Source organism: Homo sapiens, chromosome 8, assembly GCF_000001405.40.
Source record: "Homo sapiens chromosome 8, GRCh38.p14 Primary Assembly".
NCBI lineage: Eukaryota > Metazoa > Chordata > Mammalia > Primates > Hominidae > Homo > Homo sapiens.
In genome coordinates this window covers 15,129,977-15,155,805 of record NC_000008.11, presented here as the reverse complement: position 1 = coordinate 15,155,805, position 25,829 = coordinate 15,129,977, and the positions used below count along the sequence as shown (strand labels likewise).

Sequence of the window (25,829 nt, the reverse complement as noted above, 5' to 3'; positions counted from 1 at the left end):
GATAACAGGTGTAAGTCACCACGCTCAGCCCACTCTTCTTTATGCCTAAAGCTATATACATTTTTTCTGCAAATCAGGTTTATACTGTATATTCAATTTTGCATGGTGATCAATTATATCATGTATCATAAATATATTTAATAGGCGTTCTTCATGTCATTTTTATGTCTGCAGAGAATTATATTAATATGAATACAGCATAATTTTGCACACCAAACTTGTGGCTCAGTTATGACGTTTCCAGTTGGCTGGTTTCGTATACATTGCTCTACTCAACTTACTTGTGAATACATCTGTTGTGCTACTTTAATATTTTCTAGAATACTAAAAATTGAAGTTGCTAGGTCAAGATAGGAGTATTGTTTTGCATTATTTCAGTTGGCACATAATCATACATATTTATGGGGTACAGTATGATATTTCAATACATGCATACAATGTATAATGATCAAATCAGGATAATTATGATAGCATATTAATTACCTGAAACACTTATTTATTTATTTTTTGTGAGACAGGGTCTGGGTCTGTCACCCAGGCTGGAGTGCAATGGCGTGATCTCAGCTCACTGCAACCTCTGCCTCCCGGGCTCAAGCCATTGTTCCACCTCAGCCTCCCAAGTAGCTGGGACTATAGGCGTGCACCACCACACTCAGCTGATTTTTCTGTATTTTTAGTAGAAATACATGTTTCACCATGTTTCCCAGGCTGGTCTCGAACTCCTGGGCTCAAGCTATCCACTTTCCTTGGCCTCCCAAAGTGCTGGGATCTCAGGGGTGAGCTACCATGCTTGGCTGCATTTATCATTTCTTGGTGTTGGGAATATTCAAAATCGGCTCTTCTCACTATTTGAAATTATACAATATATTGTTGTTAATTAATTTTACCCTACACTGCTGTAGAACACTAGAGCTTATTCCTCCTATCTAGCTGTAATTTTGTATCTGTTAACCAACCTCTCATGTTCATCAAAAGGACTATAACTTTTTATACAAATTCTGGCAGGATATAAACAATGGGCATCAGAGTCTTGACTGACTGTCTCAGTCGAATTACTAAATACTCCCATTTTTTGTTTATAATTGCTTGAAGTGCAACTTTAAATGCAAAGCCCTCTTCAAATGGTTTCTGAAGGATGGTTGCTTCCTTTAATTTTCTTTACAAAATATTGATCACCTGTTACTTACAACTCAGAGCATATGGTGGCATTCTGAAGTTTCTGCCTCTATGATATATTGTACTGTTTACTCCATGATAGACTATTATTTGCTCAACATATTTGCTCTGCTGTCTGTACTGGGGTCCATCTCTCTGTGTCCCCTCTCTGGTGACCCTCTCTAAGGGAGATGTCTACTTTCCAGCCCTTCATAAGAGTCTTGGATGTGGGACACTCTGGCCACTGGAAGGGAGGCATGACCAGGCTGAGCAAAAGCTGGGTGGTCCCATTTTTGCTCCTTTCCAGAGATCAGCTTATTTCATGTAGGGTCTGCTGCTTTAGGTGACTCACAGCCCACAGGTACTTTGAGTGAGAAATATATCCTTGTTGTTTTAAGACACTTTGGTTTTAGGAGCAAAACTAGTGAAAGCTGACTGTGTTAGGTTGTCTTTGCCTTGCTATAAAGAAAAACCAGATACTGGATAATTTATAACAGGAGTCCCCAACCCCCAGTTCATGGCCTGTTAGGAACCGGGCCACATGCAGGGGGTAAGTGGTGAGTGAATATGACCTCCTGAGCTTCATCTCCTGTCAGATCAGTTGCATCTTTAGATTCTCATAGAAGCACAAACTCTATCGTGAACCGTGCATGTGAGGGATCTAGGTTGCATTCTCCTTATGAGAATCTAATGCCTGAAGATCTGAGGTGGAGTAGTTCTCACCCACCCCTACATCCCTGGAAAACTTGTCTTCCACAAAACTGGTCCCTGGTGCCAAAAAGGTTGGAAATTGCTGATTTATAAAGGATTATAAATTTAATTTATAATTAAACACAGGTTTAATTGACTCATGGGCCTGCAGGCTATACAGGAAGCATGGTGCCAGCCTCTGCTTCTGAGGAGGCTTGGAGAAACTTTTCCTCGCGGAAGGCACGGTAGGGGCAGGCACTTCACATGGTGAGAGCAGGGACAAGAGAGAGAGGGTGGGGGGAAAGTGCCATAGCCTTTTAAATGGCCAGAACTCAGAGCGAGAGCTCACTTAACCACCGAGGAGATAGTCCAAGCCTTTCATGAGGGATCTACCCCCGGGATCAAAATACCTTCTACCCGGCCCCACCTCCATCATTGGGGGTTACATTTCAACATGAGATTTGGATGGGGACATATGTTCAAACTATATCACTGACTAATACAGACTCTGTGATGTGTCTCTCTGTCTGGCAAGCTGTCTGGCATTCTCACGTTACTAAAGTGACGGAGTTAGTTGTATAATAACCTGGCTTTAAATATGAGGTGCACATTCCACTTTGGCTTCAACATGGACTTCAGTATATATGTTAGGCATATCATGCATTAGACATTTGTTTTAGTTGCAGCAGCTCAAAAGTTTTATGTTGTTTATTTTCATGCCACCCATGCACCTGGATTTACAAGAGAATTAATCCCTGATGGCTTTAGCTACCCGTTATGTGTAATGGATTCATTTATCTCCTGTACATCTAAAATTGTACTAATTATATATTATTCCTGGAAGTATTGAGACTGTAGTCTCTCAAATGATTTTCTCTTTTCTTTGGTTTAGATGAGAAACTCTGGTTAAGTTATTGACGGCCATTGAGCAAAATCTTTGTACCATTGGACAGTTTCATAATAACCTCTGATTTCTTTGAGGCTTGGAGAGTCCAAAGCGGGTCACCAAATTTGCAAAACCCTTTCCTCTACCCAGGAGACTGGAGCAGTGGGGTTGTTGACACCATCTGCTATGAACTTTCTTGGTCTGGGAATCACTATAGCAGTCAGGAGATTATTAGTCAGTTTATCTGATATAGGTACTTAGGAGGGTGTAGGTATTTTTGCTCTAGACAATACTAGTGTTCTTAATAGAGACATTAAACAAAAAGGACTTCTTTGTGAATAAGATACGTACTCTGGAGCAACTTCAATGAAATTCTCGACCAGGTAAGTTAACCATGTTTTTTTAAAAAGCAAAGATATCTCAAAGGAGTGTGATTTATATTCTCTCTGTTTTCTACTCGCCGTGCCTTCTGATTTTCTCAAGTTGCTGAAAAGATAATGGCTTTTCATTGCTCTTCTGTCGTGTTTCACAATAAGTTGCCTCCACCTGTTTTGACATCTGTAGTTTGGAGCTTGCAAGGACCTGCTTTTACTCAGTAGATGGATATTTTACCAGTAAGCATTGGCTGTTCTAACACCTTGTTTCTCCAGGTTATGTGTTTATTTCCTGTTAATTTTCTTCCACGTACTGTACTCGAGCATCCTGTACCACTGCCTTCTTTCTAAGCCTAAGATTCTTCTCAGCTTGAAACTTCCACTTATCCTTGTTTTTACATATTTTTTTCTGACCCTTAGTTCATCATGTTTTAACTATTCCTGCCTTGCTTTGTTCTTCCAGTCTTAGTAAAGGAACCTGTTTCCTGTGATTCAGCAATTATGAAGTACATTTCTAACAGCTTGACATCTTTATTATTAGAAGTCCTGTCACTTTCATGCTATCTCAGGACATCTCAGTTTTTAACAAACAAAATCCAGAAAAGTGATTCTTTCAAAAGGAAATTAAAGTAATAATAAAACACCCCTTTTATTATTTTATGATACTTTCTTATTTTACTTCAAACCTTTGCTTAACCACAGTTTTAAAGGCTGTTGAATCACTTAATATCACGTCAGGTCGTTGGCTTTTCAAATCTTTTTTTCCCCTTAGTGTATGTGGTTTACACATGGATTAACCGCTTCAAATGCTTTTATTAGAATCAAGAGTTCTCTGAAGATGAAAAAGCCAGTATATTGATGGATCATTACAGAGTTGAAAAACAGGGTTACTGTTGGAAAATTCATTCATTGACTTCTTAATTCAATATATTTATTCAGTGCTTAAGTCTTATTGATACTGCTGTGAGGCATCAGTATTTTTTCTTAATCTGAAATATTATTAACTGTGTCATTATATAGTTGGCTCTTTATGTATGTGTATACATGTACATCCAAGTGAAAATAGTTTGAAGTATTTCTCTACTTTAAAAATAATGCATTCTTTGTGAAAATGTATTCAGATTTCTATATCATAAAGATATTTTATTCAGAGAGGACTAAAAATTAAAGAAGTCCTATTTAGGCCTTTCACATTTTCAACCTCATTCATTTTCAATGTTATATTTTCCAACTTTTCACTGATATTATTTTTGAACATTTCTCCCATAGTTGAACATATCATTATTTCAATAAGGGATTATGTATTTGTAATCTATTGTAGCATATCAAATGACTCCAGAGTTGAATGGCTTGAACAACAAATACTTATTTTCAGTTTATGTTGGGTGAGATTCCAGAAGTAGCTTAGTGGGGATAGATTTGGCTCATGGTCTCTCTTGGAGTAAAACTATTGGCTGGGGCAGCTTCATCTGAAGCCTTGATTAGAATAGGAGGGTCTATGTGCAAGAAGCCCATTCACGGGATTGGCAGTTGGTGTTGGTTGTTGGTTGGCGTACCGCAGTAGTCCTCTGAATAGACAGCCTCCATCCTCCGAGGCCGCTCCAGCGAAGTGTGTGCGTGAGTGTGTATGTGTGTCTGTGTGTATGTACATCAGAGAAAGAGATAGAACGTAAGATAGAAGCCAATAGGTCCACCACTTAGTGCCCATAATTTCTGCCATGTTCTATTAATTAGAAGCATGCCAGTAGGTCAAGTCCACACTAGAGGAGAATGAATTACACAAGGGTGTGAAAATGAGAGGGCAAAAATCACTGGAGGCCATTTTAGAGACTACCCACCAGACTTTAGTCAGCTGCAAATAGTAAAGAAAACAGAAAACAAAAAAACCACAGCCTTAGCTTAAATCAAAGGAGAATTTATGGAAACAAATACGTGTTATCTTCCAGAAACCAAGCAGGAAGTATAGTTATGCCTGGTGAGAGAATTTAGGAAAATAAAAAGTCAGCTTCTTTGTTTCTCTTGATACAATTTTTTCTCATCTCTGCCTCTTGTTTGGTGTCCAGGTGAAAAAGGGCCTCCAGAATCCCAACATACTTGTTCAGTTCAAGTATCAACAGGGACCGACTTCAATTGCTTTATATACTCATTAACACAATCAAACCTTGTTCCAGTCAACTCTGTGCGTGAGTAGGGAGGGGGAATTAGGTTTGGGAGGGTTCCAGAGGATGGGAGTGAATCACGTGGCTTTACCTATGCTCAGCAGGGTCTATGGCCCCAGGGCATCGAAGGAAACCTTTTCAATGGAGAAACTGAGGTCAATTAATTAATGCATTAAATAACCGACTGACTTAAATTCAACCAGGGTCTAACTGAAACTTTTTATTTTATATATTCAGAATAGCTGACAGTTTTAATTTTTTATCAATTGTAATAACTTTGTAAAAATTATTCATTTTTATCAAACATATTGGTATGTTTATTTCTGATTCGCACTGTTTTATAAAGTAATGGATAAAGCAATACACAGTCCTCATAAAATATCCAGACAATAGATAAATTTGTAAAGAAGGAAATGAAAATCGCTCAAAAATCCACAAGCCACATTTTGATTGTAGAGCCTTTCAGACTTTTTCATAATGAATATTTTGCACAGGTGGCTGTTTGACAGCTTGCTTTTTTCCTTTGCAGACACACTGCAGATTTTTTTCCATCTAACTAAATATAGACAAATACAATTATTTGTAATGACTACACTGTACTCCTTGGCATGGTTTCCCATGATGCCTCCAGGTCTCTGTTGATGCACATTTTTGTTTTCTAGTTATTCTCTATTATCAACAGAATATCCTCATACTGTATCTTTGGACACTTCCGTGGTTATTAGTGTGTATTTTTAGAAGAATTGCTGGGTCAGTGAATATGCATTTGAAATTTTTAAACAGATTGTCAAATTACCCTCCAGGAAGGCTTTTTTTTTTTTTTTTTTTTTGTAGTTTATAGTTATACCAGCAGTCGTTAAAGGTGACTGTTTTCCTCCACCTCATTAAAGCTGGCTATTCTCAATATTTTCAATCTTAGCAATGATGTAAGTGATAAATGATATTTCATTGTTGTTTTAACTTGCATTGAAAATTCCATCCTTAAAGCAGGAGGGTTGGCTAGAGCATATCAAGTTGTCTGTCAGAGCCTTGGAGGCTGGAGGAAATGCAAAAAGCAGGGCTACAGAAGATTTTTTGGTGCATTTTAATTCAAGTAACTTGCCACTGCTGAACTGGTACTAGGTTTGCAAAATCAAGTTCATAGTCCTATCTGGTGGGGACATCAGTAAGAAGTCCAGTTAGACTTTCTGTCCTGTGAGCTTTTTATTCTGCACACCAATCCTCCATACTTGAATTTGCACTAAATTGGTGACCAGTTACTTGTCAAATTTCAGCCCTGTCCCTTTCCCTTCCAGACCTCATCCCATATAGGATTTAATGGGATAATGTTTGAAGGATAGTCATTTAGTCAATAATAAAAAAAAATAAGAATAATGGCTCCTTTCCAGCCTGGTTTCCAGAGCCTCTGACCTGCTGTGGGGAAGGACCACCGGTGATTGCATCTTCAAAACAGGGACACTTAACAGACACTTACAGAATTCCCTCCTTTTGCTTTCTGCAGCAGGAAAATCAATTCTGTGTAGTGTCCTGTGATTTTCTTTGCTTTGGCTCACACAGCAGTATATCTGTGATACGTGTTTGCTTTTACTCCTGATTTCAGTGCTCGTGCAGTATTATTCCCTGTTCTTGCTTTTCTTTGGCCTTTCAGTCAGTCTTTTGTCGACTATGACAGTGTGAGGGGCAAGTGGTAATATGATTCTTTCACTCTCCTCTTTCCTGGCAGTTAATATGTTGGAATTTAATTTTGTTATGGCAACCCACATCCAATTTTTGTATCAGCTTGTGTCTGAAATTCAGTTATAAGTCAAGCATCCAGGCTTGCTTGGAGAACTCGTATCAGTGTCACCTGAGAAACTTGAAAGGGTGAAGCATCTTCTGTCTTCACACCTATTAGCCGTAGTATAAGTGAGACTCAACAATATCGTAAATTCAGGGGTTGTATTAATCAAGCAAAAATAATTGATGGTAACTAGACAGAGGATATTTAGGACAATGGGGAGCAAATGGCCTTGCAATTCCTATGACTCCGGAAAAGGCTGCTTCAACCTTCGATTTGCTAATTAACTATGGAGTAGTGTAGTCATGCTATAATACCCAGGAGGTCACACAGCTGCACACTTAACTCACTTTTATGTCAAGGCAGCAAATGAGCAAAAATCAAACTGACATCGAGGCATCTTTTTCCAGAATGAAGTTCATTAACCATCAGTGAGCTCCTGAACCTGATGTCCGATAGCAACTTAATGTCCATCAAATCCTCAGCTTATCCCAACTACTATTTCCCCAATATTGACTCACATCATCCAAGAGAGAGTGAATTGTTTTCTTCACTTAATTAAAAAGGCATCAATGTGTCTATTTTATGTCAGATATGTTTTTATTGTAAAGAAATTAGCTAAGTAGAAACTAATTTTATCACATATTCTTTTACTAGCTGCCTCATCGCTGCTTCTTGCTTTTGGTGTAGGAGACTTGGTTGGTCCTTGAGAGCCCTTCTGAGAATGAAAAGAGAGAAAATGTAAATTTGGACCACAGGACCACAATGGAAGTTTAGGTTTACCTACTTAGGAGGCTAGACTCAAAACTTTACTATAATCTCAGAAAAGCAAGCCCAATTCTACCACGAATTAAGCAAAAATGTACCTTTTATATGGTTTGTCCAGAGGATTCAGAGACATATATAATTCATAGTATATATTACATGGAAAAAATTAATAGACATCCTTCTTCAGCATGTCTTCCCCCTGACAACAAAGTGCCCTTCGAAGAGTGTGAACTGTGTCCTTCTCAGAACCCCTTCTGCAACAGGGATTCTACCTGGGCCTTCTCCCCTCCTCTCAGTCTTATCTGGCTGTGAGCCAGCCCCTACTGCAAGTTTTTCCTCATGCATTCTACATAAGGGATCGTGTCCTGCCCAACTTTCAGCGGAAAATCACTAAATTAACCCAATAAAACGGAAGTGTCAGCCGGGTACGGCAGCTCACGCCTGTGATCCCAGCACTTTGTGGGGCCGAGGGAGGTGGATCACCTGAGGTCAGGAGTTCGAGACCAGCCTGACGAACATGGAGAATCCCCGTCTCCACTAAAAATACAAAATTAGCCGGGCATGGTGGTGCATGCCTGTAATCCCAGTTACTCGGGAGGCTGAGGCAGGAGAATTGTTTGAACCCGGGAGGCGGAGGTTGTGGTGAGCCAAAATGGTGCCATTGCACTCCAGCCTGGTCAAAAAGAGTGAAAGCCCGTCTCAAAAAACAGAACAAAACAGCGATGTCCTTTTAATTTCTGCTTCATGAGGGATGGGGTAGGTTGGGGAGTGAGGATGATAGAATGTGTTGGGAGTAGATTATGGTTCTCAAGAGCTTTAGATGATGCAGGTTTTCCAGTGTTCTACCAGCAGTATTAATATCATAGGTATACTGCTTGGATAATTAACAATAAATTAATATTTTCAATGATGTATATTATCTTGGATCTAACTTTTGAAAGGTAATTTCATGATGACCTAGACCAAGTTTATTGAAAATTGCCTTCCAGTTTTCAGCCCTTCAATAGTAAATTAAACATTGAAAGATACTTGGCATTTTACTTTTGTGGGCATCTGTGTTAGGCTTGTGTTAAGGGATGATTAATTGAATTTCTTTTAAGTTGCTATACAGTATTAACATAATTTTATTAACCTAATGATAGCCTAAACAACTGATCTTTATTAGGATGCTAATAAAAAGATATTGAAGAATAATTCAGAAAAGATCATGCATTTGCCAGTCTCTTTTATAAAAATATTTTTGTCAAAGTAATTAATACATAATTTAAAAAAATAGTACAGGTATTATAATGAAAATGAGTGATGTTACCATTCCTTCCCCATGCTCACAGAGGTTACTTTCAACTGTGAGATTTCTTTTAGTATTATCTTCATATAGAAAACAAAATTATAACACTAAAGCTACAAACAGAATACACTACTGAAACTATTCTTTTGATTTTTAAAAATTGGCCTCCTGCCAGGTACAGTGGTACATTCTTGTAGTCCCATCTACTCACGGGGCTGAGGCAGGAGGATCACTAGAGAACAAGGACTTTGAGGCTGTAGTATGCCATGATCATTCCTGTTAGCCACTGCACTCCAACTTGGACAATATGGAGACTCCATTTCTCATAATAAATAAATGTTTAAAAATTGGCTTCCTCAAATAATTGATTAGAATTTAGCTCTCTTATATTCGTAACATTTATATATAATTATATATTCCTTTCCGACGAAAATCAACGGTAGGCATTTACATCATTATATTTTTGTAAACATTGAATAAGATTAGATGTTTGTGCTTCACTTATATTTCTTTTTTTTGTATGACTTTTTCTTTTTCCTGGAGTTACTATTTATTTCAATTTTTTTCTTAGTTTTCTAAGTTCTCATTCATTTATTTCAAATTGCTCAGATTTATGAATCATTTCTTCTTTTTTAGCCCCTCTCACTTCTTCCCGTCTCCTATTCATGGCCACTAACAGAGCAGAGAGAGGGATGCTTACAGCAGATAGCATTCATCCCCTTGTTCCTCTACTGTTACCCCCTCACCCATTCTCTTTGCCTTTTTGGAGTTTATACAGTTTTATTCCCTTGACTCATTTTTATTCAAGTTCTAGGGAGGCAGAGGAGATAAATATATGTGTTTAACCTCCTTGATAATCATAAATTTCTGTGCCATTTTCTTTTAGTCTTTTACCTAGTCTTCACATCAGTCTAAAGAGTTGGTGTTACTATCTCCATTCTTTAGGAAGATGGAGGGCCACGTATGGTGCTCACACCTGTAGTCCCAGCACTTTGGGAGCCTGAGGTTGGATGATTACTTGAGCCTAGGAGTTTGAGACCAGCCTCGGAAACATAGTAAGACCTTGTCTCTGAAGAAAAGAAAATCAGATGGTGTGTACCTGTAGTCCAAGCTACTTGGGAGGCTGAGGCAGGAGGATTACTCAAATCCAGGAGTTCCAGGCTGCAGTGAGCTATGATGGCACCACTGCACTTCAGCGTAGGTGACAAGGTGAGAAACTGTGTAAAAAAAGAAGACAGAAGTTCCGAGATACTAAGTGGCTTAATTCACATAGTAGATGTGGATCTGGGATTTCAAAGCAGTCAGTAGCTTACAAAGCCCACTCCTTCCTCACTCTACCAAAATGGAATGTCTCTTTCATTTGAGGGTATTGACAACTCTTGAGCTCCTTGAAAAGTTATTACCAAATAATATTTTAGTTTTGGTGACGCTTTAGATTAGTTTCATTACTGGTTCACCTAATTTAACAGTTGATCAGCTATAGGTACAAAAGAGAATGTATAATGAACATGGCTGAATTTCAGAATCGTAAAGAATTAGTTATAACCTTCACAGAGAAGCCAGAAGGACTGAGGCGATACGGCAGGGCTTGGGGAATAATTTGCTCTGATCAAAGGATGTCTTGTGACTCTGTGCAATCATTTAAAGATGAAGTAAAAAGAAATCTGTAAGTACTCGTAGGAGAACAATCTACAGGGCTAAACAGCTAAAATCACAGGAGTTTATTATGCCAGACAAACTTGGTTTCTCTTGTTTTGTGAAATCACATAGTGACTGAAGAGAATAAAAGCAGCAGATGGAATGTATCAGGTTACATACAGCACCACAATATGTGGTACGGTACACCGGAAAATGATAGGAAAAAATTAATTAAAATTAATGTGTCCCTAAGCACTGCTGCTTTTCCCTGCAAACTAACAGAAGTTAAATATTTATTTTAAAAGGTGAATGTTGGCTGGGCGCCGTTGCTCATGCCTGTAACCCCAGCACTTTGGGAGGCCAAAGATGGGCAGACCACCTGAGGTCGGGAGTTCGAGAATAGCATGGCCAACAGAGTGAAACCCTGTCTCTACTAAAAATACTGGCTGGGTGTGGCGGCATGTGCCTGTATTCCAAGCTACTCAGGAGGCTGAGGCAGGAGAATCGCTTGAACCCGGGAGGTGGTTGCAGTGAGCCAAGGTGGCTCCACTGCACTGAAGCCTGGGTGACTGAGCGAGACTTAGTCAAAAAAAAAAAAAGTGAATGTCAACCTGCTAAGACAACAAACTGTATAGAACTACTTCTGAGCCTGTTGCATGAAAAGCCTTCATTAAACTAGGAAACGTTAATATTTGAGGATATGCAACAATAATAGGTCAACCTGAGGTACAAAAATAACACAGAAGCTGTAGAGCTTTGTTGAAATTGTGTAGCATATAACAAAGATATATAGGATCAAGTACATTAAAAATGCATAAGAAATATTTTAAGTCTGAACCTTTGCCAAGAACTGTGATATCATTTGTGGAATGCAATTTTCTGATTCTGTATCACCTTTTATTACACCAACTTCAAAATGCCAGAAACTGATGTTTCCTCTCACCCAGAAAGCAGAAATGAAACAGATATTTTGCTAAGTTAAGGTAATAATAGGGCCGGGCGCGGTGGCTCACGCCTGTAATCCCAGCACTTTGGGAGGCCGAGGCGGGCGGATCACGAGGTCAGGAGATCGAGACCATCCCGGCTAAAACGGTGAAACCCCGTCTCTACTAAAAATACAAAAAATTAGCCGGGCGTAGTGGCGGGCGCCTGTAGTCCCAGCTACTTGGGAGGCTGAGGCAGGAGAATGGCGTGAACCCGGGAGGCGGAGCTTGCAGTGAGCCGAGATTGCGCCACTGCACTCCAGCCTGGGCGACAGAGCGAGACTCCGTCTCAAAAAAAAAAAAAAAAAAAAAAAAAAAAGGTAATAATAGATTGACCACAGATAAATAAGCAATTACAATAACTAAATTATAAGGAAACACTACCTTACTTTAGAGATGCAAAAACTGAGCCCCAAGGAGATGGGTTAATTCTCCTAGTGTCAGACATAGTGAGACTAGGAGATGTGTTAATAGATGGGTTAAACCCATGTGTTTTTGTAAGCCATGGTTTTCAGAAAGAAGTAACTTAAATAAAACCTAAATGGTACTTAACTAATTTCCAATGATCTGGCTATTTTCAAAACACTTTGGAAAACTGGAGCATGAGAATATTATAAATGCAAAATGTTTCTTTGAAATTCTCTTAAATACATTTCATTTTTTTTCCTGTGAGAGCTACTTTGCTTGAGCCTTATAGAAATAATTCTGCTTTTGAGTACTAGTGAGAAGAAACATCTTTATTCTTTCAATAGATATTTTTCAATGCCTACTACGTGCTAGAGTTATGCTAGGCTAAAAGGTAGAATGATAAACCGATATATAAGGTTCCTCTCATGGTGGAACACTCATTCTACTGGAGAACTAGACTTTTATTATGTTTGTAGCAGACAATCTAATGAAATTTTTTCTTATTTCTAATGTCCATGATTTTTGGCTTCACAGTAGCTATCACAAAATTATTCTGACATTATCCACATATGGTATTGCTAGATAGCCATGGCTGTGAAATTTGGTTCCTTAGCAACTGCAAATGTACCTTGGAAAGGAAAAGAAATTGTCATGAAATACTCTAGGACAGTACGTCCTTCTCAAAACTATAGGTTAACCCTTAGCATAATATTTTTCAGTGTACCATAAAAATATTACAGATAGAAAGCGTCATTTAAAGTAGCATTTTTGGCTGGGCACGGTGGCTCAGGCCTGTAATTCCAGCACTTTGGGAGGCCAAGGTGGGTGGATTGGGTGAGCCAGGAGTTTGAGACCAGCCTGGGCAACATGGCAAAACCCTGCCTCTACAAAAATACAAAAAGTAGCTGGGTGCGGTGATGTGTGCCTGTAGGCCCAGCTACTCGGGAGGCTGAGGTTGGAGGATGACTTGAGCCCAGGAGGCGGAGGTTACAGTGAGATGAGATTGGGGGGTGGGGGCGGGAAGCATTTATTTTCCTGGTGATTTCGTAGTATGGGAAGTCATCATTGTTACTTGAATAAGACTGGATGGTAATTGGGGGGTGATTTACATGATGTCTCTTGCCCAGGGTTAGTAGTGTGCTCTGTGAGTCTTGCAGGCTGAGGGCCAGTTTCTAGACTCCCAGTCTCTACTTTAGCTTCACATCTTTCTGAATTTAAAGGACTTGAAAGAAACATTCTGTAGGCTCTAGGTACTCCCAATTTTAGAGGCTCCACCTCAAAATACATCAAATATATTACAGTATATCCACATCTGGTATTAAATATAACCAATATATAATTAATTACTCAAGCATTATGTTGAAACAACATAACTTCTCAGAGTGCAATAAGAAACAACATTTCTCCTACTCAGTGCCTGCCTAAACATACTCTAGGGTTATTTCCCTACCCCTCAATAAAATCTTAGACCCTAAAACCCATCTGCTCCCTCTTAATCAAAAGTCCTCTAGTCATTTTATGAAAAGAATCATCTCGTGTTTGTAATAAACATGTCCATTTCAGTGGGATGCTCAACTCCAACTTCAGCATCAAGGTCCTCTCTTCCCCATCTGTTGGGAACCTTTATAAGCTCTTGAGAATTTTCCTACTCGGTCTTTCCAATTGAGCTTTCTTGATGCAGCCGGTGCCTGTCCCAGGGTCTTCCACTGCTACAGGCTCCTTCCTTTCTGCATTTGACAGATCTTTTCACTGAGGTTCTCATTTTTTTTGTTTTTTTTTTTTTTGAGAGTCTCACACTGTTGCCATGCTGGAGTGCAGTGGCGTGATCTTGGCTCACTGCAATCTCCGCTTCCTGGGTTCAAGTGGTTCTCCTGCCTCAGCCTCCTGAGTAGTTGGATTACAGGCACGCACCACCACGCCGAGTTGATTTTTGTAGTTTTGGTAGAGACGGGGTTTCACCGTGTTAGCCAGGATGCTCTTGATCTCCTGACCTCGTGATCCTCCCGCCTTGGCCTCCCAGAGTGCTGGGATTACAGGCGTGAGCCACCGTGCATGGATGAGGTTCTCACTTTAGTCAAAGCCTTCTTGGGCAGAGCCTTCTAAGGAAGATCCCCAGACAGAATCTAGGGACCCAAGTCATACACTTTCATTTATCATCATTGAGAGTACAATTACTTCCTAAAATCTGTCCCTGTTCTGAGTTTAGGAAATTTTAGCCACTGATGTGGACATCTTTTTAAAACATAAATTAGATATTCTGTGCTCCCAAACTCCAGGACATTCATGTAATATGGCTGACGCCCTAAGAATTTATACCTAAATCAACATGACTCATTGAAATACTGTGTAAAGTCAACATGGAATCAACAGATCTTACCAGGAAAAAGAAGTTGTATCATCAGACTGCAGTGGGTTTGAATCCACAACCCCTACCACCAGTCCCTGGTATTATGTGGGTTGTGTGGGAAAGACAAGTTACTCAACTGCATTGAATTTCAAATTGGTTAATTGATAATTAATTCCTCAATATTTGTCATAAATGTGTATAAGAGAAAGATTTTAGACATAAGATCATGCAACAAGGTGAAAATTACATAAGAAGTCAGGGCAAAAGGAACATGGGAAAAGAAATGTAAGATGTAGCCAGAGTTTATTTTAATATACAAAGTTTATGTCATCATAGTTTCCTCATTGCTTAAGTAAAGCTATAAATCCTTGACATATAATAGTTCCTCATTAAATGTACGGTGGTCATCATTACTGCAAGTATACACAACTTGTCACTGCAAAAACTGCAGAGATGTATTTGTTTCTGTTTTATGCTTAGTGTTCAATACTACTGAGGTTCTCATGAGAAGATAGAAATGAATGGATTTTGAAATAAGGATGGAATGAGCAGGATAACTGAGCTGTCTTGATGGATAATAGATAAAGTATAATCTGAACTAAAAAGAAAGCTCTCTGAATCGCCTATAGAGACAAATATTATAGACAGGGGAAATACAGTATGTGATTACTTACACAAAAAAGTAAATATAAAATTATTGTAGAAGAAAAAGGAGGTATTAAAAGTAAATAATATGGGTCATTTTTGGTTTTTGTTGGTATTATTATTATTACTATTAGTTGGCAGCTGATATTTGTTGAATTACCAATATGGGCCAAGTACTTAATCTGTATTATCTCCATCCTCAAGAGGGTGAAAAATAAGTGATCTTTCTATAAATGAGGATATTGACTCTCTGAAAAGAAATTTAACCAAAGATAGCATAGAATTCAAGCCCAAGAAGGGTGAGTGGTTTCTAAGTGATTACACTATTTATATTAGTTATGAGCTCTAAATAAGCTCTATAATGACTGGGCACGGTGGCTCATACCTGTTATTCCAGCACTTTGGGAGGCCAATGTGGGAGGATCACTTGAGGCCAGGAGTCCGAGACTGGCCTGGGCAATAAAGAGAGGCCCTTTGTCTACAAAAAAGTAAAAAATTAGCCAACCATGGTGGTGCACACCTGTGTGCACCCAGCTACTCAGGAGGCTAAGATAGGAGGAATGTTGCTTGAGCCTGGGAGTGATGGTTGCAGAGAGCCAAGATTGCATCAGTGCACTCCAGCCTGGGCAACAGTGTGAGACCCTGTCTCAAAATAAAAAAAAAAGGCTTTATAACCAGTGTCCGTCCCCCCAACCCCCACCAACTTTAATGCATAGAGGAGAGGTACAGTTTCTTTGTAATATAAGGTACTCTAGTATAGAATCAGGTATAAAGTAATAGTGACTTTGACAGTGGCTGTTTAGATGTCACATGCCATGGGGGAACTTCAGTGACTACCGTGTCATTATTTCTAGACTATCACTAATAATTAAAAATAGATAACAATAAAACAGTAATTGCAGGGGAGAGAGTGAGAAATGGAGAGGTGTAGGTCTGAGGACCTGAAGTAGTAGATATGTAGGATGTACAGGTCTAGAGATCTAATGTACAACATGAGGACTATAGTTAAAATATTTTATGGTATTTGGAATTTTGGTTAAATAAGTAGACTTTAGCTGGTTTTGTCACACAAAAAGAAGTGTGAAATGGTAGATATGCTATTTTGCTTCACTGTGGTAACCATTTTACTCTCTATAGGTTTCTTATAGTGCCATGTCACCTTAAATATACACAATAATATTTATTTCCAAAAAATGCAATTGCAATAGCAGTAATAGTGATACTTTTAATATAGGTAATTGACCTTCTGAAAAGTATGAATAGTAACATCTTTAGGACACTTTACTATGTTTATTAAGTCCCAACTTAAAGTCTAGGAAAAAAGTGTGCTTGATGTATAAACATAGATTCAAAATAGTTCTTTAGACATACCCCGTCCTCTCCCATGACTGATACATGTTGTTTATAAGCTCTAAGAAAGGAAGCTCTAAAGAATAGAGAATTTTGGAAGCACTGAGGATATGAACTATGTTTAAAGAATTGTATTAGGGAAATTTGGTTTTGATGCTTATTCTCTGATAATATTTAGCAGCAGGAACTGGAGAACAGCCAAGCCCTCAGCAAAGGCATTCATGTTCTGGCCTGTTTATATTCATTTGCCCCATTGTCAGGGAGGAAAATAAAATTTTAGGGAAATGTATATAAAGACCAAAGTACTTAACTTAGGGCATGCTTAAATCCAGCATTAAGTGTCCATCTATTTAAAAATAGATGGATCTGTAGAGCTGATACAAAATTATTTGATTTTTCTCGTTGGCATTTCTTTATCATATGATTTACATTTTGCTTTTCCCTTTTGAACTCCATCCTTTATGTTTCCAGTTCAGCAAGTCTTCCTTTTGGTTCTCCGTCCTGAGCCACATGGTTTAAACATTTTTATCTTAGCTGTCTATATTACTATCTTCTCACACTGCTGTGAAGAAATACCTGAGACTGGGTAATTTATAAAGAAAAGAGGTTTAATTGACTCACAGTTCAGCATGGCTGAGGCGGCTTCAGGAAACTTACAATCATGGTGGCAGGCACCTCTTCACAGGGTGGCAGGAGAGAGAATGAGTGCAATCAAGGGAAATGCCAGACACTTATAAAACCACCAGATCTTGTGAAACACTCTTTATCATGAGAACGGCATGGAGGAAACCACCCTCATGCTTCAGTTACTTCCAACTGGTCCCTCCCATGACCCGTGGGGATTATGGGAGCTACAATTCAAGATGAGATTTGAGTGGGGGTGCCGCCCAACCATATTATTCTGCCCTTGGCCCCTTTAAAATCTCATGTCGTCACAATTCAAATCACAATCATGCCCTCCCAACAGTCCCCTAAAGTCTCAACTCATCCCTGCATTAACTCAAAAGCCCAACTCCAAAGTCTTATCTGAGACAAGACAAGTCCCTTTTGCTTATGAGCCTGTAAAATAAAAAACAAGTTAGTTACTTCTTAGATACAATGGAAGTACAGGCATTGGGTAAACACACCTGTTCCAAATGGTAGAAATTAGCCAAAACAAGGGGCTACAGGCTGCGTGCAAGTCCAAAATCCAGTAAGGCATTCGTTAAACCTTAAAGTTCCAAAATGATCTCCTTTGATTCCGTGTCTCACAGCCAAGTCATGCTGATGCAAGAGGTGAACTCCCATGGCCTTGGGTAGCTCTGCCCCTGTGGCTTTGTAGGGTACAGTCCCCCTCCGGGACTGCTTTCATGGGCTGGCTTTGAGCGTCTGTGGCATTTCCAGGCACACAGTGCAAGCTGTCAGTGGATCTACCATTCTGGGGTCTGGAGGACGGTGGCCCTCTTCTCACAGCTCCATTAGGCAGTGCCCCAGTGGGGACTCTGTGTGGGGGCTCCAACCCCACATTTCCCTTCCATGCTGTCCTAGCAGAGGTTCTCCATGAGGGATCCATCTCTGCAGCAAACTTCTGCCTGGACATTCATACATGTCTATATGTCCTCTGAAATCTAAGCAGAGGTTTCCAAACCTCACTTCTTGACTTCTGTGTAGCTGCAGGCTCAACACCACATGAAAGGTGCCAAGGCTTGGGGATTGCACCCTCTGAAGTCATGGACTGAGCTGTACCTTGTCCCCTTTTAGCCAAGTCTGGAGCATCTGGGACACAGGGTATGAAGTCCCTAGGCTGCACACAGCAGGGAGGCCCTGGGCCCAGCCCAGGAAACCATTTTTTCCTTTTCAACCTTAGGGCCTGTGATGGGAGGGGCTGCCAGGAAGGTCCCCGACATGCCTTGGAGACATTTACTCCATTGTCTTGGTGCTTAACATTCTGCTCCTTGTTACTTATAGAAATTTCTGTAGCAGGCTTGAATTTCTCCCCAGAAAATGGGGTTTTCTTTTTTATTGCATTGTCAGGCTGCAAATTTTCCAAATGTTTATGCTCTGCTTCCTCTTAAATCTTTTCCACTTGGAAATTTCTTCCACCAGATACGCTAAATCATCTCTCTCAAGTTCAAAGTTTATAGATATCTAGGGCAGGGGCATAATGCCACCAGTCTCTTTGCTAAAACATAGTAAGAGTCACCTTTGCTCTACTTCCTAACAAGTTCCTTATCTCCCTCTAAGACCATCTCAGCCTGGACTTTATTGTACATATCATTATCGGTATTTTGGTCAAAGCCATTCAACAAATCTCTAGGAAGTTACAAACTTTCCCACATCTTCCTGTCTTCTAAGCCCTTCAAGTCTCTAAGAAGTTCCAAACTTTCCCACATTTTCCTGTCTTGTTCTGAGCCCTCCAAACTGTTCCATCCTCTGCCTTTAGTACCCAGTTCCAAAGCTGCTTGCACATTTTCCAGTACCCTTATATGAGCACCTCACTCTACCAGTACCAATTTACTGGATTATTGCGTTCTAACAGTGCTCTGAAAGAATACCTGAGACTGGGTAATTTATAAAGAAAAGAGGTGTAATTGACTCACAGTTCTGCCTGGCTGGGGAGGCCTCAGGAAACTTACAATCATGGTTAAAGGCACCTCTTCACAGGGTGGCAAAATGGAGAATGAGAGCAAGCAGGGAAAATACCAGACACTAATAAAAGCATCAGATCTTATGAGACTCTCATTATAAGGCAAATAGCATAGGAGAAACCACCCCCATGATTCAGTTACCTCCAGCTGGTTCCTCCCATGACACCTGAGGATTATGGGATCTACAATTCAGATGAGATTTGGGTGGGGACTCAGCCAAACAATATCAATGCCCTTCCCTGACAATTACCCACCTCCCCACAGTCTCTCCTACTTCGTCAACTCAAATAAGTCATCTGTAAGCTCATGCCTCTTATCAAGTATGCTGGAGTGACACCTGCTATTCAGATCAGGGCACCTGAAGCTCTCCTATCACTAGAATGCCATCTCATGGCTTAAAGCATGAACCATCCAATAAACTCATTGCCTGTTACAAGGGGCCAGTTGAGGCACAGAAAGTTTAAATAATCATGGTGCATACAAAATGATCCTGAGCAGGGTACTGAGGTAGGAGGCAGGACTCTACTCAGGAGGTGGGGCTTGACTCCAGAGGTGGGTCTTGGACCCTGGACCAAATTGAGGACCAGCTAAAACAGGGATGGGACAGAAGGAGCTTTCCATAAGCCATGCCCACCAGTGTCCTATGTCAGTTTACCATTGCCCTGTCAACACCTAGAAGCTGTTGCCCCTTTCCATGGCAATGACCCGATAACCTGAAAGTTACCACCGTTTTTTAAAAGAAAGTTCTGCATAATCTCCTTAATTTGCATATAATTAAAAGTAGGTATAAATATGCCTGTGCAACTGCCCCTGAGCTGCTACTTTGGGCATACTGCTTATGGATGGGGTAGCCCTGCTCCTCAAGGAGCAATCCCTCTGCTGCTGCTGGTCAGTACCACTTCAATAAAAGTTGCTGTCTAACCCCACCAGCTCACCCTCGAATTATTTCCTGGGATAGGCCAAGAACCATCCCAGGCCAAGCCCCAGTTCTGGGGCTTGCCTGCCCGGCATCAGTACTACACACAGTCTAAACACTGTTTGACTTGCTTACTTACCTTAATCAAAATACAGAGCCACAATTTCTAAGAGCCTCCAGAATTTGTAGAAGTCCACTGCTTACTCTGTAAAGACAGAAAAACGTTCTTGCTCAAAATGCAGCTCCATCTATTAGAGTTGGTAAATATGTAGAAAACAGCATGTAGAGATTTCTACACATTTTAATGAGATGCCGAGTCTTTTTGACAAGGTGACTTTGTTTTCTTCATGTGCTAGGAAAATGTGAATGGAAGAATTATGGAATGTCATTTTTCATTTAACATCATTCTGTAGCTCTCTTTTCAAATGAAAAGCCAGATTAAAATACAAAATCAGTGAAAATGAGCCAATTTCAGCAACTCTGCTTTTTCTGACTCGTTCATTTACCCAAAAGTTTTCAGCAATATTTTAGGTAGAAAGTGTTGTTAGAAATAGAGTATTTGCCTTTAGGGGAATACATTGATCTACTTAATAGCACAGAAAAATAAATGGTGAACTGAATGCTCAGAACCATAATTTATCTATAATTTAGAAAGGGTCAAAACTCAAGAAATAAAGTTGCATATAATTTTTCTCAGCCTGAAAGCTGTAGGGAACCATATTTAGGACAGCATTTCAGATATGAAGATGCCTAAATGAACTCAAATCACTCAAATGTAGCAACTGAAGAGCAAAAGTCTAGCAAATTGGTAGCTAACGCTTAGAGTAACCACATTTTGAAACAACATTGCTTGAAAAACTATTGTCTTTCAAAAACTAAGATGTTGAAAGCAAACTGTTTAACATTCAAACGTGTTTCAGAAGTAATGCATAATGATTCCGTAATGATCAAAAAAAAGCATACTCATATATTAAAAGTTCTGAGATATTTTTCTTTCTGTTACACAGTTTTCCAAACTCATTTGATCATTACTGCATCCTTTCTGGAATATTCTCTGTAGTATTTTGTCAAACACAAGTGTGTCATAGGAAATAACTTGAGAAACTCTGAATTGGGCTTTTTGGTGACTCGTCTTGCATAGAATCAGCTGTGTATGCTTAAATCTTGCACAATTATGCAAGGAGTACATGCTACATTGAGAGTTCTTCAAAGTTTGTGATCAGTTATTTCTGCGCTTAAAGTGATATCCTAAAATTGAAAGGATTTTATTATATAAAAGGAAAAAAAATGCGCTATTTTTCAATATGAGTATACCGCTCATTGTTCAGTTAGGGAATACCTTTTGCTTGGAGGTTGTAATTGCTCAGTGAATGTACCCTTGGGCATATAGCTTAAATTAGATTCTCTGGTAATTTTTTGACCATGTAATTTAGTTTAGGCTTTAAGGTTTAAAATCAAATTATTGGAAGTAAAGAAACAAAAAAAAAAAAGACCTAATGCTCCTATTGTATATTTACATTTAAATACCAAAGTTATGTTTATGAGATGATACTACCTATGAAAGTTAACCTTTTCCAGCTGGTATGATAATGATTTTTGTTTGTTTGTTTTTACTGTAAAGGGAAAGGTAGTGTAAAGATAAAGCTTGATTTTTAAAGGATGCTTAAATATTTATTAAATAGCCTTATAAAGGCAAAATACAGAATTAAGTGGCCTCAGTCATCTGCCTTAATCAAGTATTTTATTAAGTGTCTTAATCAGCACATACTTAAGCTGATAAATCGTTAATATTAATAGAGTTAATATTAATTTCTCAGAATAATTTTTCTTTCATTGATAATATTAAAAACAGAACATTGAAATAGATGCCTAATACCAGGCTTACTAAGAAAAATAGACTTCCCTCAAAAATTAGCAAAGGATCATTGTTAAGTGGTTTTAACACTTGTTTTTTTCACAAATCTGAAATTAAGAATCTCATTAGGCTCATTTTCTGCTCAGAGCTAATATAAACTTCAACTACTAATCTCTTCTGATATGGTCTACTCTTATTATCTTCGTTTGTTGTGAAGACTTTGGTTCTGTCTTACTGTTGTCATTTTTGTTAAATTACATGGGCATTATTCATAAGTAAACATAAGAGAGTAAAAGACATCAGTTTACTGTGGTTATGTGGCAGATTTTGTTTTCTCCTACAAGTGAGATACTGCAAATGAATCTGACTACAGTATTTAAGAAAAGACTGACTGAAAGAGTCCCAGAGAAGAGTGAGTAAAAAGAACTGTGAGGAAGAGCAGGGAAGATAACGAGAGTCTAAAATCGACTTTTTCAGCCAGAAAAGACGTAGGCTGAGAAAGATTTTCACTGAGGGCTATGAAATCATGACCTGTAGAGATAGGGAGGATATTGCTTGCTTGCTAGCTTCACTGATGTTTGAGGGCAGTTTTTGGACTTATGAAAACAAGTACTGACTTACAAAGTGGCTAATACTTGTGTTACATTTATAACTCTAAGAAGAAGAGTTTATCAAAAACACATACCAAAAGAATATGGACAGAAAATGTAAAAGGCACATCATGATCTTGTTACTTGGGAAATTAGGTAAATTGAGAATACTTGTCTTATTTATTTATTTATTTATTTATATATTTTGAGACAGGGTATCACTCTGTCTCTGAGGCTGGAGTGCAGTGGTATGATCTTGACTCACTGCAACCTCCACCTCTTGGGCTGAAGCCATCCTCCTACCTCAGCCTCTCAAGTAGCTGGGACTACAGGCCCACGCCACCATGCCTGGCTAATTTTATTTGTGTTCTTTGTAGATATGGGGTTTCATCATGTTGCCAGGCTGATCTTGAACTCTTGGGCTCATGCAGTCCACCCACCTTGGATTTCCAAAGTGGTGAGATTACAGGCATGGGTTCCTGTGCCTGGCCACTTCTTTTATTTTTGCTAGAACTTTATGAAGGTCTTAGCAATGGTATGGTGGTGAACAGGCTCTCAAATGAGAAAGAGAGAGAGGAAGCATTTGCTGACTGCCATGGTGTAAACACATGCCAATAATGACTAATCTCAAGCTACCAAAAATGTAGCAACTGGCTTTCAAAATTCCTCAATATTTACCAATTGCTCTCACAACTCGTTAAATTTTTTAGAGTCTATGGAGAAAGTCACTGTTACAAAGTCTTTCTGGTTAAATTATTAGTCAAGAAACCCACAGTACTCCCAAAATTAGCATAAGTGGATTAAAATGATAATTTAAAAATCTGATTTCATATGTCTTCCCTCTCATGTAAACCTTCCACTGGTTTTCATGCATGCATCTATTCATTCATGCCTTGCCTATTGTATCTCCATGAGGCATGTGATGGCGGCTGTAAGAACAGGAAAATTTGGTATAAGGGGAGATTGAGGTGTTAGACTCCATAGTCTGATGATAAACATCTTCTTGTGCTGTGAAGACAGTGGACTCAGGCAAACCGGCATTACATACACAGTGTCTACAGGCAAGTAAAAGATTATGATGCTGCGGGTCTGAGGAATGTGGGACTTCTAGTGTGCTCTTTTCCAATCACTTTTAAATCTCTTTAACTCCATTGTGTGTGGTTCTTGCTAAATAAATGGCAATGTGGAAAGAAACTGTATGAAAAAAATAATAGCAAGACAATGACTTGTAATTAACTGAGCTAATGGCTTTAAGTAAGCAAAATGAACAATTTCCAGGGGCTTTTATGTACTTCCACCAATGCATTGAAAGAATTATGATTATACATTTGTTCTAGAAAATGGCTGGAAGGTGTTAAATTGCTTAGCTCTGTTACAAATAAGAGTTGCTTAGTAATTATCATGCAAACATTCATTTCATAAAAGGGTATTTGTTGATGTCTTATCATGAAATAGGAAAGATGAAGAGCTTGCAGACCTTTCAGGCTGAGAAACACATTTCACCTCCACCAAAACTATATTTATTCTTCTCAAGATGTTTTTTTAGCCATTCCCTGTGCCAGCCTCATGGCTAGTTTTCATGGGATAAGGAGGAGTTTGGCCTTTGGTGGCATAAATGATGAACAGAGCTGGTTGCTATTAGGGGACTCAATAACTGTTCTGCAGGAAAAAACTTTTCCTTGAGAAGATGCCGCGCTAACATACTTAGCTGACTCACAGAAATCGGGATGTCTTTGGCTAAAATATAAAAAAGACCCAGAATATTTATGATTTCACTTTATTTGGACATAAAAATAAAATATCATTTGATTGTACGCATAAGATATATTTGGAACTTCCTTAGTGTATTAGTCCATTTTCACACTGCTGATAAAGACATATCCAAGACTGGGTAATTTATAAAGGAAAAGAGGTTTAATGGACTCACAGTTCCACGTGGCTGGCAGGGCTTCACAATCATCGTAGAAAGTGAAAGGCATGTCTCACATGGCGGCAGGCAAGAGAGAATGAGAGCCAAGTGAAAGGGGAAACCCCTTATAAGACCATCAGATCTCATGAGACTTACTACCATGAGAACAGTATGGGAGAAACCATCCTGATGGTTCAGTTATCTCCCACTGGGCCCTTCCCACAGCACATGAGAATCCTGGCAGCTACAATTCAAGATGACATTTGGGTGGGGACACAGACAAACGATATCACTGAAGCACCTTATTTAAGTCATTAGTTAATAACTTAATGTGTCACTCTACTTGGTAATCATTTTTCAAATATTTGGAAGTAAATCTTGATGCTTCCTCAGCTTGCTTATAGATAGCATTTTGAAAAAAATCCTAGTAACTTCATTTGAAACTACAGGCTGCTGAGTTCATTCATTTTTGTAAGCCCCGTATCTAGCACAATGGTCAACACATAGTAAATGCTCAATAAATAATATAAAATGGATGGGGATGTGTTAAGAATATTGTGAAAAAACATTATCTTCAACTTTATAGATTTTGTAGTGATTTTGTCATTCATATCCCTTCTGTATACCCAGGTGATGAATATTCAGAAAACATAGGCATATAATCTTAGGTAGTATGCATAATTTTGGCATGGAATCACTGCTTGTAATGCTTACAATTATTTACAATATTTGATGATGGTGGAAAATACTTTCATCAGAATTGACACAGCCTCATTATATCATTTATTCTTAAAGTAACAGACATTGAAAGAGACTGAAGTAAATAAACGAGTGATAATTTAACTGAAGTGACACATCCGTTTTAAACACGGAATGCCAGCCTGCTGGGATGAGGAGCATTTCTAAAAACTGTTTAGCTTAGTGCAGTTTAGCTTCCTGTAATATTTATTTACTGTGGATATAGAACATTTCCTGTATGTATTTGCTACAAAATTCTTTTGGTAATCGTGTGTTTATTAATTTTTCTCATTTGCATTTCTTTTTAGTGCATTCATTTCCCTTGCTGGAATTTCAGCACACTGGGTAGATATGTGGGCCATTGCACCAAGTGCTGAGCCTGCAGATTACTTCCCGTCAAGTGGCTTCCCCCTATATTGGCATCCTTATGGTAATGAAACATTGCACGGCCACTTAGCCATCACACCACAGCCTTGCTGCACAGCTCAGTTTTTGCAGCTCGCCAGGAGCCTTTAGGAGCAGCAAGAACAGAGTGTAGTGAGTGAGCCAACACATTCCTTTAAGAAATGCCAAAACCTCCCGATAGAGAAGGGCCTCAAATATCATTACAGATAACACCAAAATCGACCAAAATAGGATGCCTCATTCTGATTAGAAGAGAGAAAAGAACAACTCATATTTTTTGGCCTACTTAGTCATACAGGATGCATCACCAATGTCATTTTT

The 25,829-nt window shown here is 39.0% G+C and overlaps 1 protein-coding gene across 4 annotated transcripts in view, besides 1 other annotated feature; it reads left to right on the top strand.

Annotated features, from left to right (window-relative positions):
* Positions 1-25,829, top strand: part of SGCZ (sarcoglycan zeta) — a 1,153,587-nt gene that overhangs the window by 82,626 nt on the left and 1,045,132 nt on the right. The window lies entirely within an intron of this gene.
* Positions 17,610-18,110: an enhancer, noted in NCBI's record as "H3K27ac hESC enhancer chr8:14995205-14995705 (GRCh37/hg19 assembly coordinates)". NCBI's record gives its function as "activates a minimal SCP1, AML or CMV promoter by ChIP-STARR-seq in primed H9 embryonic stem cells {active_cell/tissue: H9 hESC(primed)}" and the evidence as "EXISTENCE:reporter gene assay evidence [ECO:0000049][PMID:30033119]".